Source organism: Homo sapiens, chromosome 2 (assembly GCF_000001405.40).
Source record: "Homo sapiens chromosome 2, GRCh38.p14 Primary Assembly".
Taxonomy (NCBI): Eukaryota; Metazoa; Chordata; class Mammalia; order Primates; family Hominidae; genus Homo; species Homo sapiens.
In genome coordinates, this window is record NC_000002.12 from 75,418,692 (window position 1) to 75,435,260 (window position 16,569).

General features: G+C 40.7%; 1 non-coding gene across 1 annotated transcript, besides 5 other annotated features; it reads right to left on the minus strand.

Annotated features, from left to right (window-relative positions):
• Nucleotides 1-154: 154 nt before the first annotated feature.
• Nucleotides 155-258, minus strand: LOC124906160 (small nucleolar RNA U13). Its single transcript, XR_007088748.1, has one exon. It is a non-coding gene; the product is annotated as a small nucleolar RNA U13 (small nucleolar RNA).
• Nucleotides 14,046-14,125: an enhancer, noted in NCBI's record as "active region_16089". NCBI's record gives its function as "activates an Ori minimal core promoter by ATAC-STARR-seq in GM12878 lymphoblastoid cells {active_cell/tissue: GM12878}" and the evidence as "EXISTENCE:reporter gene assay evidence [ECO:0000049][PMID:35858748]".
• Nucleotides 14,136-14,405: an enhancer, noted in NCBI's record as "active region_16090". NCBI's record gives its function as "activates an Ori minimal core promoter by ATAC-STARR-seq in GM12878 lymphoblastoid cells {active_cell/tissue: GM12878}" and the evidence as "EXISTENCE:reporter gene assay evidence [ECO:0000049][PMID:35858748]".
• Nucleotides 14,476-14,565: a silencer, noted in NCBI's record as "silent region_11680". NCBI's record gives its function as "represses an Ori minimal core promoter by ATAC-STARR-seq in GM12878 lymphoblastoid cells {active_cell/tissue: GM12878}" and the evidence as "EXISTENCE:reporter gene assay evidence [ECO:0000049][PMID:35858748]".
• Nucleotides 14,606-14,685: an enhancer, noted in NCBI's record as "active region_16091". NCBI's record gives its function as "activates an Ori minimal core promoter by ATAC-STARR-seq in GM12878 lymphoblastoid cells {active_cell/tissue: GM12878}" and the evidence as "EXISTENCE:reporter gene assay evidence [ECO:0000049][PMID:35858748]".
• Nucleotides 14,716-14,875: an enhancer, noted in NCBI's record as "active region_16092". NCBI's record gives its function as "activates an Ori minimal core promoter by ATAC-STARR-seq in GM12878 lymphoblastoid cells {active_cell/tissue: GM12878}" and the evidence as "EXISTENCE:reporter gene assay evidence [ECO:0000049][PMID:35858748]".

The window sequence follows — 16,569 nt, forward strand, 5'->3', positions numbered from 1 at the left end:
GAGTCCTGCAAAGCACTTTGCTATTAGAATATCTCAATACATAAAATGTGATACAAATGGGCCTAATATGAAAATTTATATAAAAATCTCAAAAGATGCTGAAAAAGCATCTGATAACTTTCAACATAAATTTTTTTCTTCTTTATTTTTCTCACATGAGATGGGTAATGTACAGATGTCGTAATAAGATGTGAGGGAGGCACATCTCACACCTAAGCATAAAAACCTAATCATCATGTTTACGAATCACAAAAGGATCTCAACATACATTTTTTGAGGGGAAAACATACTAGAAAATGAGGAATAAATATGTAATTCTTCAACATGATCTCTAAAATCATTAATCTTAGTGGTTACACATTAGAAGCATGTTTATCAAAATCAGAAACATGAAAATTACACACATCATTGCTATTACAAAGTTATGGTAATGATTTTCTAGAAGTTATGGCTGATTCAATAAGACATGAAACAAAAACAGAAGTCTAAGTGCTTTTCCATTGTAGCACTCACTATATTTGTAATTAAATAATGATTATATGGTCACTTGTCATCTCCCTTGTAAAAACATAAGCTCCATAAGAACAGGAACTAGGTCTGTATTATTTATTAAGGAATCTCAATGCCCAGAAAAATACCTTTTACAAGAAAGTATGAAATAGATACTTATTAGATGAATGAAGTAGAACTTCAGGGTATGGCTTAGTAAGAAGGTTAGCAAATCCTCTCCCCAAAAGCAAGTGAGAAGCTAAACAAAAATGACAAAAACAACTATGTCTATGCTCTTGGAATCTGCCAAAGGCATAGCCAATTGGAGAAGCATTTATGCTTGAAAACCTGTGGAACTGTGAAGATTAGTAGGAGCTTAGGACATTTTTTACTGGGACAACTCCAAAGCTCCTGCCAGCCTGGTTGACATGGATGTTTTGTGAGAGTGGAACAGGCTGTGACAACTAGTAGTTTTGCTACCATGGTCATGCTGGGCACACTTGATCTGGAGAGGTGGGCCATGCCCATGCAGCAATGTCAGTAAAAGTGACAGTCTTGGCAGAGGGTCAGTGGAATTGACCAATGATTTTTCTAATCTGAGGTTTTTGTTGGGACAAGCATAATATCAGCTAAGGCTACACATATCCACGACAGAGACCAAGATGGCCTAAGCCCCTCTACATACTACTGGCCAACACCGAGGTTGCACACACAGAGAAAATGTGCAGAAGAGCCTGGTGGGAAGAAAAATCTGGAGGAAAATTGAAAACAGCTTGAAGTTTGTACTCTTCCTACATAGAAATCCATCAACAGAGAACAGAAACCTTATTGGCTCAAGTGTTTTGAGTATAGTGTCTGCCCAATCATTGGCCGACCACCAGGCTACACAGAAAGAAGAATGATCCCTCATAAGTCCAACATAAAAACAACAATAACTTAAAAAAAAACAAAAAGGAACAGAGACATAAGCAGCCATTGGGAAGACCAGTTTCACAGGTTTGGCCCAGGAAAGCTACTCAACAAATAAAACAACAAAAACAAATATCAGAAAAGAAAACCATGACCCAGAGTTGCTGTATTATCAAAATGTCTAAATTTTCTTTCTTCCTTGCTTTTTCTTTTTCTTTTCTTTTCTTTTTTTTTTTTTTTTGAGACAGAGTTTTGCTCTTGTTGCCCAGGCTGGAATGAGATTCTCCTGCCTCAGCCTCCTGAGTAGCTGGGATTACAGGCATGTGCCACCACACCTGGCTAATTTTGTATTTTTAGTAGAGACAGGGTTCCTCCATGTTGGTCAGGCTGGTCTTGAACTCCCGACCTCAGGTGATCCACCAGCTTCAGCCTCCCAAAGTACTGGGATTACGGGCATGAGCCACGGCGCCCGGTTCTAATTTTCAATAAACAACGTTATGAGATATACAAAGAAATAGGACTCATATTCAACGGAGGGGAAAAAAAGCAGTTAGTAGAAACTGAATCTGATGTCTCATTTGTATCCTCTGCCTTCCCCAGCTTTTCTTGATCTGACCTCTGCAAACCAGCCTTCCTTGGTAGGTAGAGTTAGACAGTGTAGGAGACAGAGGCACAGAGGAAAGAAGCAGGTTTCTATTCTCCTCTGCTTTGGGCCGTGTCTCTGGCCACATCTCCTATGAGGTTCCAGTCTCACTGGAAAGCCCTAGCTGCTAATACCAGCTTTTCCTTTTGTCCTTCTGGCCCTAGAGATGGAAGGGCTGCCTGATGTTGTTATCTCTGGGTTTCCCCACCAACTCATTTGCTCTTTATCTCTTCTAATTTCTTTGTAGCAATTTCCCTACAAATTCCTTCTCAACTGTCAAGCAATCACCCATTGATAGACATTTGTGTCATTTCCAGCCTTTTCCTATCTAAAAAAATGCTTTAAAGAATAGCCATGTGCATGCATGTTTTTATGCTTTTGCCAAGTGTCTATTTGGGATAGATTCTTAGAATTGAGATTGTTGATTCAAAGAGTAAATGCATATGTCTAAGCAGCTTAAAGAGGCATTGTTGTTTCAAGCCAAAAATATCTTCTTTAAATATAGTTTTATTAAAAAGAAAGTAATTAAGAGAGAGCTTTGAAATAGCAAGACAAGTGAATCTCTTTGGGAAAAAACGTATAATAAAAAAACTTCTGACTGTCCAGAAGAAGTAGGCTCCCATGCAGGTGGAGTGAAGAGAGGAGAGAGAAACTTGCTCTTGATTCATCTTTAGTTAGGAGTGAGAAAGGTGCCTGGGAAGAGATGGAGAGACCATTTGTGAAAGAAGCAGCCCTGTGAGGCATTACATATGCTTGGCACTGTATAATTAGGGTGATAGCATCTTCTGATGCATACTGTATAATCTGTTGCCTTGGCTAATCAGAGTCACTGAACCCCATTTAAGATGGAAAGTGGAATACTGAGTTGAATTCCTATGTCAGAAGTTGAGTAAAGATAAGTCACACCCTCTAATCCATTTAAAAATACTTAGCAGGTGATTCCAAAGACTGAGCTACTGAAGTCCCCATGTTATCCCAGGGGGACGTGCAAAAACAGGCAAGAATTAAGGAAGCAGCTCTACAAGCCAGCAGAATTGACCTGATTCTCCAGAAATGTTTCTGCATAGGGCATGGCCACAACCCTGGGGACTGTAGTTTTCCCTGTATCCCAATTGGGGTTAAAAAGAGAAAGAACAAAAACTGGGAGCAGGGGAAGGGGATTTTGGTTTCCAAGGGGTAAGGCACAGAAGCAACACTAAATCCTTCTCCTGTCCATCTCCCTTTTACTCCACCCTAAGGATGAGTCCTAAATAAAAGTTTGATCCAAAGGCCTTTGGGATAGTGAGAGAAGCTTGCAAGGAGGAAAGGGTCTCTGTATGGACATTATCCGCTTTATTCAGTTCTTCTGCTCCACACTGTTATTTGCTTAACACTGTAGGATTCTAGTTATTTTCTTTCAGCACTCAAAGATGTCACTCCATTATCTTCTCTTTGCTTGGCAGCTCACCAATGCCTTCAAACAGATGGTTTTTGTGTTTTATCTGGCTTTTCTTGTTTTCTTGGCAGGAGCATTGGTCTATAGCAAGCTACCCCATCAGAATTGCAAGTCAAAGCCTCCACTCTTAATTACTGAAAATGTACATGCATTAATATCTAGTATTATAGATCCCTGTTCCAGTTTTGTTTGAAAAAATTTATAAACTATTATTGCCTATTTGTCCACATGAACTTTAGCATCTCAATATTGTACACCTTCCCATTACTAATTCTACGAAATGTATACATTTATTTGTAGACAACTTTTATGATATTGAGAATTCTGTATCCAGAAGCATGGTATCTATTTTTATTAAATTGTGTATTTTTGTTACTTTTGGAGCTTTATTTCAGTTGGTTCTGAATATTTCAAATTAAGTTTAATCCTGCATATTCCAATTGTTTTTGTCAGTGGGCTCTTTTTACAATTATATGTTCTGCATTGTTGAATATATACAAAATCTTTAATGTTGTATATGCCATTTTTAACTCATCATCTTAGTAAATTTTTATTAGTTTATTTCCTTTGGTTTTCTAGGCAAAGAACACAAGGAAATCATAACTTTGTTATGTCATTTCCAATAATTACCAACCTAATTCATTTCCATGGCTTGTTTTTTTCTAAAACTTTCAGAACAGTGTTAAACCATAGTTGTCACAGTGGTCATACTTCTTCTCTACTTCTCTTTAATGGGAATCCCCTAGGATTTTATGATAGTGTGTGCATGTTTCTCATGTTAAACAAAATTATCTTCCTATTTCTAAAAAAATTCTGTCCAGAACTAATATTAAATTACAGCTGCCTCTTGAACAATGCTGGGGTTAGCAATGCTGTCCCCACATGCAGTCTCAAATTCACACATAACTTTTGACTCCCCTAAAACTTAACTACTGATAGCCTACTGTTGACTGTAAGCCTTATGAATAACATAGTCAATTAGCACATATTTTGTCTGTTATATGTACTATATATTGTATTATCGCAATAAAGTAAGCTAGAGAAAATAAAATGTTATTAAGAAAATCTTAAGGAAGAGAACATATATTTACTGTTCATTAGGGGGAAATGGATCATCATAAAGATCTTCATTCTCATCATCTTTACATTGAGTAGGCTGAGGAGGAGAAAGAAGAGGTGTTGGTCTTGCTCAAGGGTAGCAGGGGTGGAAGAAAATCTAGGTATAAGTGGACTTGCACAGTTCAAACATGTAAATTGGGTAAATTGTATATGGATGGGTTCAAGGGTAAATTGCATATGAATGTCTATTTAACATCTATTTGAATATGATTTTTCCACAATGAGATGTCACCTTACACCTGTTAGAATGGCTATTTTATACACACACACACACACACACACACACACACACACACACACACATATATATATATACACCAAAAAAAGATAACAAGTGTTGGTGAGGATGTGGAGGAAAGGGAATCTTTGGACACTGTTGGTGGAAATGGAAATTGTTGTAGTCACTAAAGAAAACACTATGGAGGTTTCTCAAAATATTAAAAATAGAACCACCATATAATCCTGCAATCTCACTTCTGGGTATACATCCAAAGGAAATGAAGTCAGGATTTTAAAAAGATATCTGCATTCCCATGTTTATTCCCACATTATTCACAATAGCCAAGATATGGAAGCAGTCTAAATGTCCATCAACAGATGAATGGATAAAGAAAATGTGGTGTATAAATATATATACCCTATGGAGCTATGGTCTGAACGTTTGTGTGCCCCAAAATTCATATGTTGAAATCCTAACCCCCAAGGAGATGGTATTAGAAGGTGGCAACTTTGGGAGGTCATCAGATCATGAGGGCAGACTCCTCATAAGCAGGATTAGTGCCCCTATAAAAGAGATCCCAGAGAAATTCATTGCCCTTCTGCTGCTGAGGTTACAGTGAAAAGATGACACTTACCAGGCATCAGATTTTCTGGCACCTTGACCTTGGACTTTCCTGACTCCAGAACTGAATGAAATAAATTCCCATTGTTTATAAGCCACAGAGTATTTTATTATAACAGTTCAAACAGACTGAGAAAGTGGAATATAATTCGGCCTTAAAAAAGAAGGAAATCATGTTATTTATGACAGCACAGATGAACCTGGAGGACATTAGGCTAAGTGAAATTAGCCAGACACAGAAGAAAAAATACTACATGATATCACTTATATAATGAACCTAAAATGGTCAAACTCATAGAAGCAGAGAGTAGAATGGTGGTCCCCAGGGGCTGTGGGGAGGGGAAAATTAGGAGGTATTAGTCCAAGGGTACAAGGTATCCCTCGTATAAGGTGAATAAGTCCTAGACATCTACTTGAAAAAGCATAATGTCTACGATTAACAATACTGTATTGCATATGTTTGCTAAGAAAGTAAATTTTATGTTGTGTTCTTATCACAAAAGATAATAAATAATTTTGCGCAATTTTGTATACAATACTGTGTTGCAAAATTTTGCTAAAATGGTAAATTTTATATTACATGTTCTTAGCACAATAATAAATAAAGAGGGCTGGAAGAAAGAAACTTTTGGAGGTGATGGATGTTTTTGGATGAAAAGGATGCATTTCCAGTAAAATGTTTCTCAAATTTGACCATGTATCAGAACCTCCTGGAAGTTTAGTTAAAACACAAACTACTGTTGATGTAGGATTTTTCTTAGTCACTTTCTCAGGTGGAGACCTCCAGCTGGCAACGCCCCTGTCTGGGATTTACTCAGGCACCAGATCACTGCAGGAGATGCACCATCCACTCAGCCTGCTTGGCAGAGTCCAACCTGCACTCTGGTGCAGATTCTCCTGTTGCTGCAACTGCACACTCAGCCCCTGGTGAGAGGGGGTGTGTGAGCAAGAGAGTGCAGGGTCTAGCTGGCCTCTCCCAGTGCTGGCACAGAAATGGGCTCTGTGTGGTACTTGTGGCTGGACCAGGCACGTCACAAGCCACTCCCATAGTGGACTCCAGTGTCCAGAGAAGGGGAACACAGTGGCATCCAGGCAGGGGTGCCCTCGACCCTGAAGCCCCAGAGGGGGTGCTACAGCATGATAATTAACTCTTTCAGTCACATCATCTGCAGCACGATGAACAATGGCATGTTAACAGTTCTGTCAGCCCCTTACCCTGCTCCGGCTCATGGCTCCAGGGTTGGCTCAGCCCCACCACTGCTTCCTGTCATGTGAGGAGGTTGCCCTCCACTGGTGAGGGCAGAGGGCTACAGTTGTTACAGCCTTCTGTGTACCCACATTCACTGGGTCCCAAATTCTTGTCCTGCATCCAAGAAGAATGAGGTCACACTGGCAATTGAAGAGTGAGGAGGGTGGAGAAGAATTTTATTGAGCAATGAAACAGCTCCCAGCAGAGGGTGAACATGAGGGTGGTCCCTCACCCAAAATTGGGTGGTTTCTCTCTCAGTGTGTCTGGGTCCGAGGCATTTATGGGCTCAGAATGGGGAGTGTGTGCTGATTGGTTTGCGAGTATGTGAAAAAGGTTAAAATAAAGGCACCACTCAAAGGTGGGCATGACAGTGTAAAAAACCAATTAGGGAAGGTAGTTATATTTAAATAGGTGAAGGGTAGGGAGAAATCAGAGGAAAGTGCACCAAATGGGAAGACAGGTTCTCAATTCAGTCTGTGAATTTGACTTGTAGCTTGGCGTCAGGCTTGGCTTCAGGCATTTGGCTGCCTCCTGCCACTATCACTGTGCTCCACTCCCAGAGTTTCTGACTCAGTGATCTGGGGTTACAACCTGAGAAGTTGCATTTCTTTTTTTTAAATTTAATTTAATTTAATTTTAAGTTCTGGGATACACGTGCAGGACAGGCAGGTTCATTATATAGGTAGGCGTCTGCCATGGTGGTTTGCTGCACCTATCAACCCATCACCTGGGTATTAAGCCCCGCATGCATTAGGTCTTCATCCTGATGCTTTCCCTTCCTTCACCTCCCTCACCCCAAAGGCCCCAGTGTGTGTTGTTCCCTCCCTGTGTCCATGTGTTCTCATTGTTCAGCTCCCACTTATAAGAGAGAACATGCAGTGTTTGGTTTTCTATTCCTGCATTAGTTTGCTGAAGATAATGGCTTCCAGCTCCATCTATGTTTCTGCAAAGGACATGATCTCATTCCTTTTTATGGATGCATAGTATTCCATGGAGTATATGTACCACATTTTCTTTATCCAGTCTATCTTTGTTGGGCATTTGGGTTGATTCCCTGTCTGCTATTGTGAATAGTGCTGCAATGAACATACGTATGCATGTATCTTTATAATAGAATGATTTATATTCCTTTGGGTATATACCCAGTAATGGGATTGCTGGGTCAAATGTTATTTCTGGTTCTAGGTATTTGAGGAATCATCATACTGTCTTCAACAATGGTTGAACTAATTTACATTCCCACCAACAGTGTGAAAGCATTCCTATAAGCAGTTGCATTTCTAACAAGTTTATGGAGGTATTGATGCTGCTGGTGTGGGAGCAGTACTTTCAGAACCACCGTCTAGATTCTAAATATAAATCCTAAGTTTAACTTCAGAATAAATTGAAAACCAAAAACCTAAATGTAAGAGCTAAACCTATAAAACTCTCAGAAGAAAACAGGGGTAAATATTTGTGACATGCAAACTGCCAAATAAAACATTAGCAGGTTGAATTAAAAAAAAAAAAAGGCGCTCCAAGGATTGATCAACATTTTTTTAAAATAATTCATGACATTCACTGATCAGATAAGAAAAGAAAACCATACAAACGTATAATCATCCCATTAGATGCCACAAAAAGGTGTTTGAAGTTTTCAAGAGAAAATGATAGGTTAGAATTTGGAGATAGCAAGTGGAAACTGTTTTGCTAACCAATTTGGCTTTTCAAGGAAAGATAATCTAAGAGTTGAAGGAGGACACAGGATCAAGGGACAAAGCGTGTGTGTGTGTGTGTGTGTGTGTGTGTGTGTGTGTGTGTGTTTGTGTGTATTAGATGAGACATACTCAAACACATTCATAGGCTAATTTGGAAGTGGCCAGTAGAAAGAGGAAATCGGAATATACTAGAGAAGCTATTGATGGAGTAAGAGTCCAGAGGAAATGAAAGGGTCTCAAGAATGGAGTTTGAACAACAGATAGGCTCACTCAACAGGGAAGGGAGTAAGAATGCGTGATGTGAGAAAATTCAAACTTGTTCACATTCATTTTTCCTATTTAAAAAAATGAAGCAGGAGGTGAAATCAGGTAAAAAAAAGTTTGGAGGTTGAATTTGGCTGTTAGCAATTCAGTGGTGGCCTTCACGATGATTTGCCATGGACTGATGGTGGCCCAGAATCCAGTAAGCAAAGGAGTGACTGGGGAGAGGTTGGGGAAATTGTTGGGGGCCCGGGGGGCGGGGAGCAGGCGAGAATGTGGCGACAAGTGCAAATTTTTCTTCCAAAGATGAAGACTGAAAGGGGGATAGGGAATTAGAGTGACAGCTATATTTCAAAAGAAAACTCCTCAAATTTTAAGACAATTTCTGAGTATTCAAGAAAGCCATACACTGGGAGAGAAGATATCATTAACTGACACATGATGAAATTTGTTGTTTTGTTAGTTAACAAAGCATCAGGCATTGCATTGTAAAGGCACAATAAACTACAAATTACCTGTCTCTCATTCAAAGGAAATAAAAATTGGCACCACGACTCCAGCAAGTATGGAAATGTAAAAGCTTAGGGTTTCTGAGCTTTCCATTCAAATCAAGGTTTTCTTAAAGACTGAATGCAGCTCCTCATTCTCCATAATAACCACCTCCACTTGGCCCTGTTCTACAATCCATAAAATGGGCTTCTCTGAATAGACAAAAAAAAAAAAAGAACAAAACAGACTTTTGAAAGTTACATCTAGAAGTCTGATTTAGCAAGCAATCCAGCTAGTGGGCCCAAATGCAGCATTTTTCAACTTTCCACTAAAAAGCCTGTGAAGACATAAGGGGAAAAAAAGACAACAATTTCATCAACTGGGAGTGAAAATCAATCTATCACAAAGATCTTACGGGGATATAATTGGATGACACAGCCCACACGGGCTTTGTTATCAGAAATAGCACAAACCTGTTGGGCAACATTTTTTTTGAAAAAGAGAGGAAAATGTGGTTTCCCTCTCCCAGTGCCTATTTCCTGATTGGAAAGTTCAAGGAGAGTATCAGAAAATCCAAGCTGCATTATCTCTTTAGAGCTGGGGCTGATTTTTGAGCATCTATAAGGCTTTGTTTCTCTTCATCCCACACGTCTACCTTTCCCTAAACAATATAGTTCTAAAAGAATTCATTAGGTTTCATCAGTTTCTGAAAACAACAGGTTAAACATGTGACAAGAACTAATTATGGTGAAGAAATCCTGGAAGTAGCTACATAGAAGCAATTGAAAATTCTAAAGTCTCTGATAAAAGCCCATGCTAACACTGTTGAAAAACCAGCATGGAGTTACAAGATTGCCCCCTAGTCCCTCAGAGACATATTAGGTGGATTAATAATGCTAGGAGCCGGCATCTTAAAATACTTTCTAGTTGTCACTTTTAGAGAGGGTTCTGCCTTGCATGCAAATCAAGCAGATGAGCAGTGGCAGCAGAATGTCAGGATTCTGAAATCTCACTGCCCTGCTAGTGCAGTGCCAGAGGAAGAGGTGCCGTGAAAGACCTCAGGCTTAAGAGGAAAGCTCTGCTGTGCTTAAGCATGTGCTGTGTAGGCCATACTTAAGGGCTGCATAAAGAGGAATTATGAGAAGATGATGCATCTCCCTGTGGAAGAGGAGGCTGGCTGGGGTAGAGTATGGGCGTCTCGAATGGAAAGTTCCATATCTGAAAGGGAAAATATCTCCCTGCAGCAAAAGAGGCAGTTTTGGTAAAATGCTGGGAACTACCCACAAAGCTTGGTTTGTGTCCTGCCTGTGTATCTGTTGTCACTACCATTCCCAGAAGCCATGGCCAACTGTGGCAGGTGCCTTGGCAATATTAATTGGTCATACTGGTGGCATTGTAGATCTTGGAAAACAAAGTGGTTCAGCAGACGTGGCAGTGAGCCCAGCCAGGAATCAGACTGAGTGGTGCCCAGCAGCCTGGGAGCAGCACGTCTCCATAGGCATGTGGTGGGAACTGCTCACTGCCTTGGTTGAGTCGGTGCAAATGCAACTGCTGTCAGCTAGAGCAGTTCTTTCTGTTCCACTGGGAGACAGCTGCTCTGTTTCCTGGGACCACCAGTGCTGCAAGCAAAGCTGAACCTGGCTGACTACAGTCTCAACTCTTTTCTTAAGTTAGCTTTAGATTTTAACTACAAATGCATGACATGCTAAATACTAAAACTGGGATCCACAGAAAGGCACAAAGAAGCTGCATCTTTAGGAGGTCCCACCATTTGTCACCTTTCCATTTGCCATGCCCATACCTGCCTTTGCACCTCCCATCACATTGGCTTCCCAGTGTTATTCTACAATGCTAAAAGGACATCAAGCCAAGAACTCCCCACCTGATCCACAGAGAACTGCCTTCTTTTCCAGTTTGAATTCTTCCAAATTAGGGTATCTTAATGGGACTCTTATAATAGGGTGTACTCTCTCAGGTGGGAAACTTGTGGAATGATCTGTGGCATCTTTCATCAACTTCAGCTTGTCTGCACTGTAAGTGGTAAAAATATCTTTGGTAGTTATAATATTAAAGTAGGCTTCCCCCTTTCTTTTCTAGAAGTTTTATGGAAAGAGATAGAATTTTAGGCAAAAAGCATGACTCAAAAACATGGAGATGTGAAAAACATGGTGTCCTGGGGAATGATGAGTAATTTCATGTGGAGACTATAGGGTATACAGAGAATGGAGCAAAGGGGAAAGAAACCAGCATTCAGGGATTTGTTGAAGTCAGGTAGTAAATAAACTTAAACACTGTGAGTGCTAGTTTCCTGTTGCTGTTGTAGCAAATTACCATACACTTAGTGGCTTAAACAGCACAGATGTATTAGCTTACAATTCTGAAGGTCAGAAATCCAAAATAGATCTTACAGGCTAAAACCAAGGTATCAGAAGAGCTGCACTGCTTCTGGACATTCAATGGGAGATCTGTTCTCTTGCCTTTTCCAGTTTCTAGAGGCCATTTGCATCCCTTGAATTGCAGCCTCTACCTTTGTCTACAAAGTGCATAATTTCAGCTTCTGCTTCTGTCCACATCTCGTCTCTGACCCTGTCCCTTCTGCTCTTGTTTTGTAAGAACCCTTGTGATTACATCAAGCCTATCCAGATAATCCAGGATAATTCCCCCTCTCAAGATCCTTAACTTAATCAACCTCAACAAAGTCCCTTTTGCTACATAAGGTAACGTATTTGCAGGTTCTAGGAATCAGGATGTCAATAAAAAGAGGCAAATTCTGTAAGATATTTGAAGAGATTTATTCTGTGCCAAATACGAGTGACCACAGCCTGTCACACAGCCCTCAGGAAGTCCTGAGAACACGTGCCCAAGGGGGTTGTGTCAGGCCTCTGAGCCCAAGCTAAGCCATCATATCCCCTGTGACCTGCACGTATACATCCAAATGGCCTGAAGTAACTGAAGAATCACAAAAGAAGTGAAAATGGCCTGTTCCTGCCTTAACTGATGACATTACCTTGTGAAATTCCTTCTCCTGGCTCATCCTGGCTCAAAAGCTCCCCCACTGAGCATCTTATGTCCCCTGCCCCTGCCAGCCAGAGAACAACCCCCTTTGACTGTAATTTTCCCACTACCTACCCAAATCCTATAAAACGGCCCCACCCCTATCTCCCTTCTCTGACTCTCTTTTTGGACTCAGCCCGCCTGCACCCAGCTGGAATAAACAGCCTTGTTGCTCACACAAAGCCTGTGGTGGTCTCTTCACATGGACGCTGTGTAAGTTGGGGTGCAGCTTGGTTTTATACATGTTAGGGAGACATGAGACTTCAATCAAATACATTTAAGAAATACATGAGTCCAGTTCAGAAAGGCAGGACAATTTGAAGTGGGGGGCTGGGGGGAGCTTCCAGATTATAGGTGATTTTTAAATTTTCTGGTTGCCAAATGGTTGAGTTTATATAAAGACCTGGGATCAATAGAAAGAAAATAGATAATGTCTGGGTTAAGATAAAGGATTGTGGAGACTAAAGTTCTTAGTGTGCAGAGAAAGTCTTCAGGTAGCAGGCTTCAGAGAGAATAGATTGTAAATACTTCTTATCAGACTTAAGGTCTGTGTTGATGTTAATGCCAGAGAGGCGTAATGAGGCATGTCTGAGCCCCACTTCCTGCAATGGCCTGAACCAATCTTTCAGGTTAAATTTTAAGAGTGTCCTGGCTGAGGAGGAAGTCCATTCAGATGGTTGGGGTGGGGGTGGGGGGGTTAGAATTTTATTTTTGTTTTACAAGGACTTAGGTGTTTTTGGGGAACATAATTCAGCCTACCATATCATGCAAGAGAATTTAAACTGTACTGTGTCAGCCAGGGGTTAAAATCTTAATGCCTACCAGGGCTAGGCAGGTAAAGAAGCATCTTAGTCCATTTTGTCCTGCTATAAAAGAATACTTGAGGCTGGGCAATTTATAAAGAAAAAAGATTTATTTGGCTCACAATTCTGGAGTGCTGAAAAGTTCAGGATTGGGCATTTGCATCTGGCAAAAGCCTCGGGCTGCTTTCACTCATGGCAGAAGGCAAAGGGGAGCCAATGTGTACAGAGATCACCTGGTAAGAGAGGAAGTGAGAGAAGGAAACTCTAGGTTCTTTTTTAATAACCAGCTCTCATGGGAACTAATAGTATGAGAACTCATTCATCTCAACCCCTCCCCAGAGAAAGGATTAATCTATTCATGAGGGATCCACCCCCAGTGACACAAATACCTCCCAGTAGTTTCCACCTCCAACACTGGGATCAAACTTCAATGTAAGATTTGGTGGGACAAACCAACCATATACAAACTCTAACAGAAGTAAATAAAGCAGTCTGGTTATTAGCCAACAGGAAAAAGTGAAGAAAGTGAAAACTCAGAGAGTACTATCTAAAGTGAGTTCTGAGTGTTATCAAAATAAATGCAAACCAGTGTTGCCTGATTACCTGATTCTTTTGGAGAAGCTAAGATCCAGATATTTATGTAAATTTTACCAGTTTTATAAACAATTTTCCAGTCTCTACTGGAATCCTACAAGGATTTTCATGTTAGGAGTTCCTGGTACTAAAATACCTCTGAAGACAGCATTGAAGGAAAGAGGCTAGGAATTAGAATGAATCAGAAAAAACTGTAACAGTGGATAAGAATGCAAACCATAGAGGAGAATAAAATATTTTAAAACCATATGCCCAACAAAGGACTAATGTCAAGAATATATATATATTTTAAATTCTCCAAATTCAATAACAAAAAAGCTAACAATCCAAGTAGAAAATGGGCAGGAGGCATGAAAAGGCATTTCGTCAAAAAACAAATACAGAAGATAAATAAGCACATGAAAAGATGTTCTATGTTTTTAGCCATTAGGAAAATGCAAATTAAAGCCATAGTGAGATACTACTACACATCTATCAGAAGCTCTAAGATAGAAAGAATGACTGCAGTCAAGATGGCCAACTAGAAGCAGCAGTGATCAGACGCTCCCACTGAAAAGAACCAAAACAGCATGCAAATCCAGCACCGGCAACCAAGGTATGCAGGTTCTGTCATCAGGACTGACCCTAGGCAGCTGGCGTGACCCACAGAAAGAAAGGAAGAGCAGAATGGTGCAGTGGCCCACCTGAGAGCCACACAGGACAGGGGAGCTTCCACCCCCCAGCCAAGGAAGGTGGTGAGTAAGAGTGCTATCCAGCCTGGGAAACTGTGCTTTTCCCATGGAACTGTGTAATCCACAGATTAGAAAATCTCACTAGTGAGCTCACACCACTGGGGCCTAGAAAACCACAAAGCTGAGCAGATTCTCAACAGCCACTCAGCTAGAAACTGCTTAAACAGGCTGAGTTCCTGGTGGGGAGGGGCAGCCGCCTACTGTCTAAGCCTTCCAAGAGACTTGGAGGAAGGGCAGCAGCCAACAATGGGACTGCTAGCTGTCTAATACACTAAGCTCTTGGGGTAGAGGAAGGGTGGCAGCCATCTCTATAGCTCCAGGCTGCACTTTTCCCTGGCTGGAGCCAGGGAGGCTGGAAGGCTTGGTCTTAAGAGGTTATTCCTCACAGGGCAACACACAGGCTGTGGCAGACTGCAGCCAGAGTGCATCTTCAGGCCTGACCCTGACCCATCCCTCCTCACTGGGGTGCCTCCCTGGAGGAACTCCAACAACTCCATTCAGGGGCTCAGGGACAGAACTCTGATGTCCCTGGGCCTGAGCTCCTAGGAGGAGGAGTGGCTATATTCTCTGCAGACCAGCAGACTTAGTCTTTCCTCCTGCTAGTTCTGAGTAATCCGGGCAACTCAGACGAGTGAGTTTCCCCCCAGCATGGCACACCCCCTCCACCAAGGGACAGCCAAAGTGCTTTGTTAAATGGGTCCTGCTCCCCGTGCCACCCAACTGGGTGAGACCCCAATAGATGCAGAAAAGGCCTTCGATAAAATTCAATGCCCCTTCATGCTAAAAACAGTTAAAAAAACTGGGTATTGAGGGAACATATCTAAAAATAATAAGAGCTATTTATGACAAACCCATAGCCAATATTATATTGAATGGGCAAAAGCTGGAAGCGTTCCCTTTGAAAACTGGCACAAGAGAAGGATGCCCTCTCTCACCACTCCTATTCAACATAGTGTTGGAAGTTCTGGCCAGGGCAATCAGGCAAGAGAAAGAAATAAAGTATATTTAAATAGGAAGAGAGAAAGTCAAACTGTTTCTGTTTGCAGATGACATGATTGTATATTTAGAAAACCCCATTGTCTCAGCCCCAAAACACCTTAAGCTGAGAAGCAAATTCAGCAGTCTCAGGATAAAAAATCAATGTGCAAAAATCACAAGCATTCTTATACATCAATAATAGACAAACAGAGAGCCAAATGATGAGTGAACTCCCATTCACAATGCTACAAAGAAAATAAAATGCCTAGGAATCCAACTTATAAGGGATGCGAAGGACCTCTTCAAGGAGAACTACAAACCACTTCTCAAGGAAATAAGAGAGGACACAAACAAATGAAAAAACATCTCATGCTCATGGATAGGAAGAATCAATATTGTGAAAACGGCCATACTGCCCAAAGTAATTTATAGATTCAATGCTATTCCCATCAAGCTACTATTGACTTTCTTCAGAGAACTAGAAAAAAACTACTTTAAATTTCATATGGAACCAAAAGAGAGCGCATACAGCCAAGACAATCCCAAGCAAAAAGAACAAAGCTGGAAGCGTCACACTACCTGACTTCCAACTATACTACAAGGCTACATTAACCAAAACAACCTGGTTCTGGTACCAAAACAGATGTATATATAGACCAACGGAACAGAACAGAGGCCACAGAAATAACATCACACATCTACAACCATCTGATTTTCGACAAACCTGACAAAAACAAGTAATGAGGAAAGGAATCCCTATTTAATAAATGGTGCTGGGAAAACTGGCTAGCCATATGCAGAAAACTGAAACTGAACCCTTTCCTTACACCTTATACAAACAATAACTCAAGATGGATTAATGACTTAAACATAAGACCTAAAATCATAAAAACTCTAGAAGAAAACCTAGGCGATACCATTCAGGACATAGACATGGGCAAAGACTTCATGACTAAAACACAAAAAGCAATGGCAACAAAAGCCAAAATTGACAAATGGGATCTAATTAAACTAAAGAGCTTCTGCACAGTAAAAGAAACTATCATCAGAGTGAACAGGCAACCTCCAGATTGGAGAAAATTTTCGCAATCTGTCCATCTGACAAAGGTCTAATATACAGAATCTACAAGGAACTTAAACAAATTTACAAGAAAGAAAAACAAAGAACCCCATCAAAAAGTGGGCAAAGGACATGAACAGACACTTCTCAAAAGAAGACATTTACATGACCAACAAACATGAAAAAATCTATCATCGCTGGTCATTAGAGAAATGCA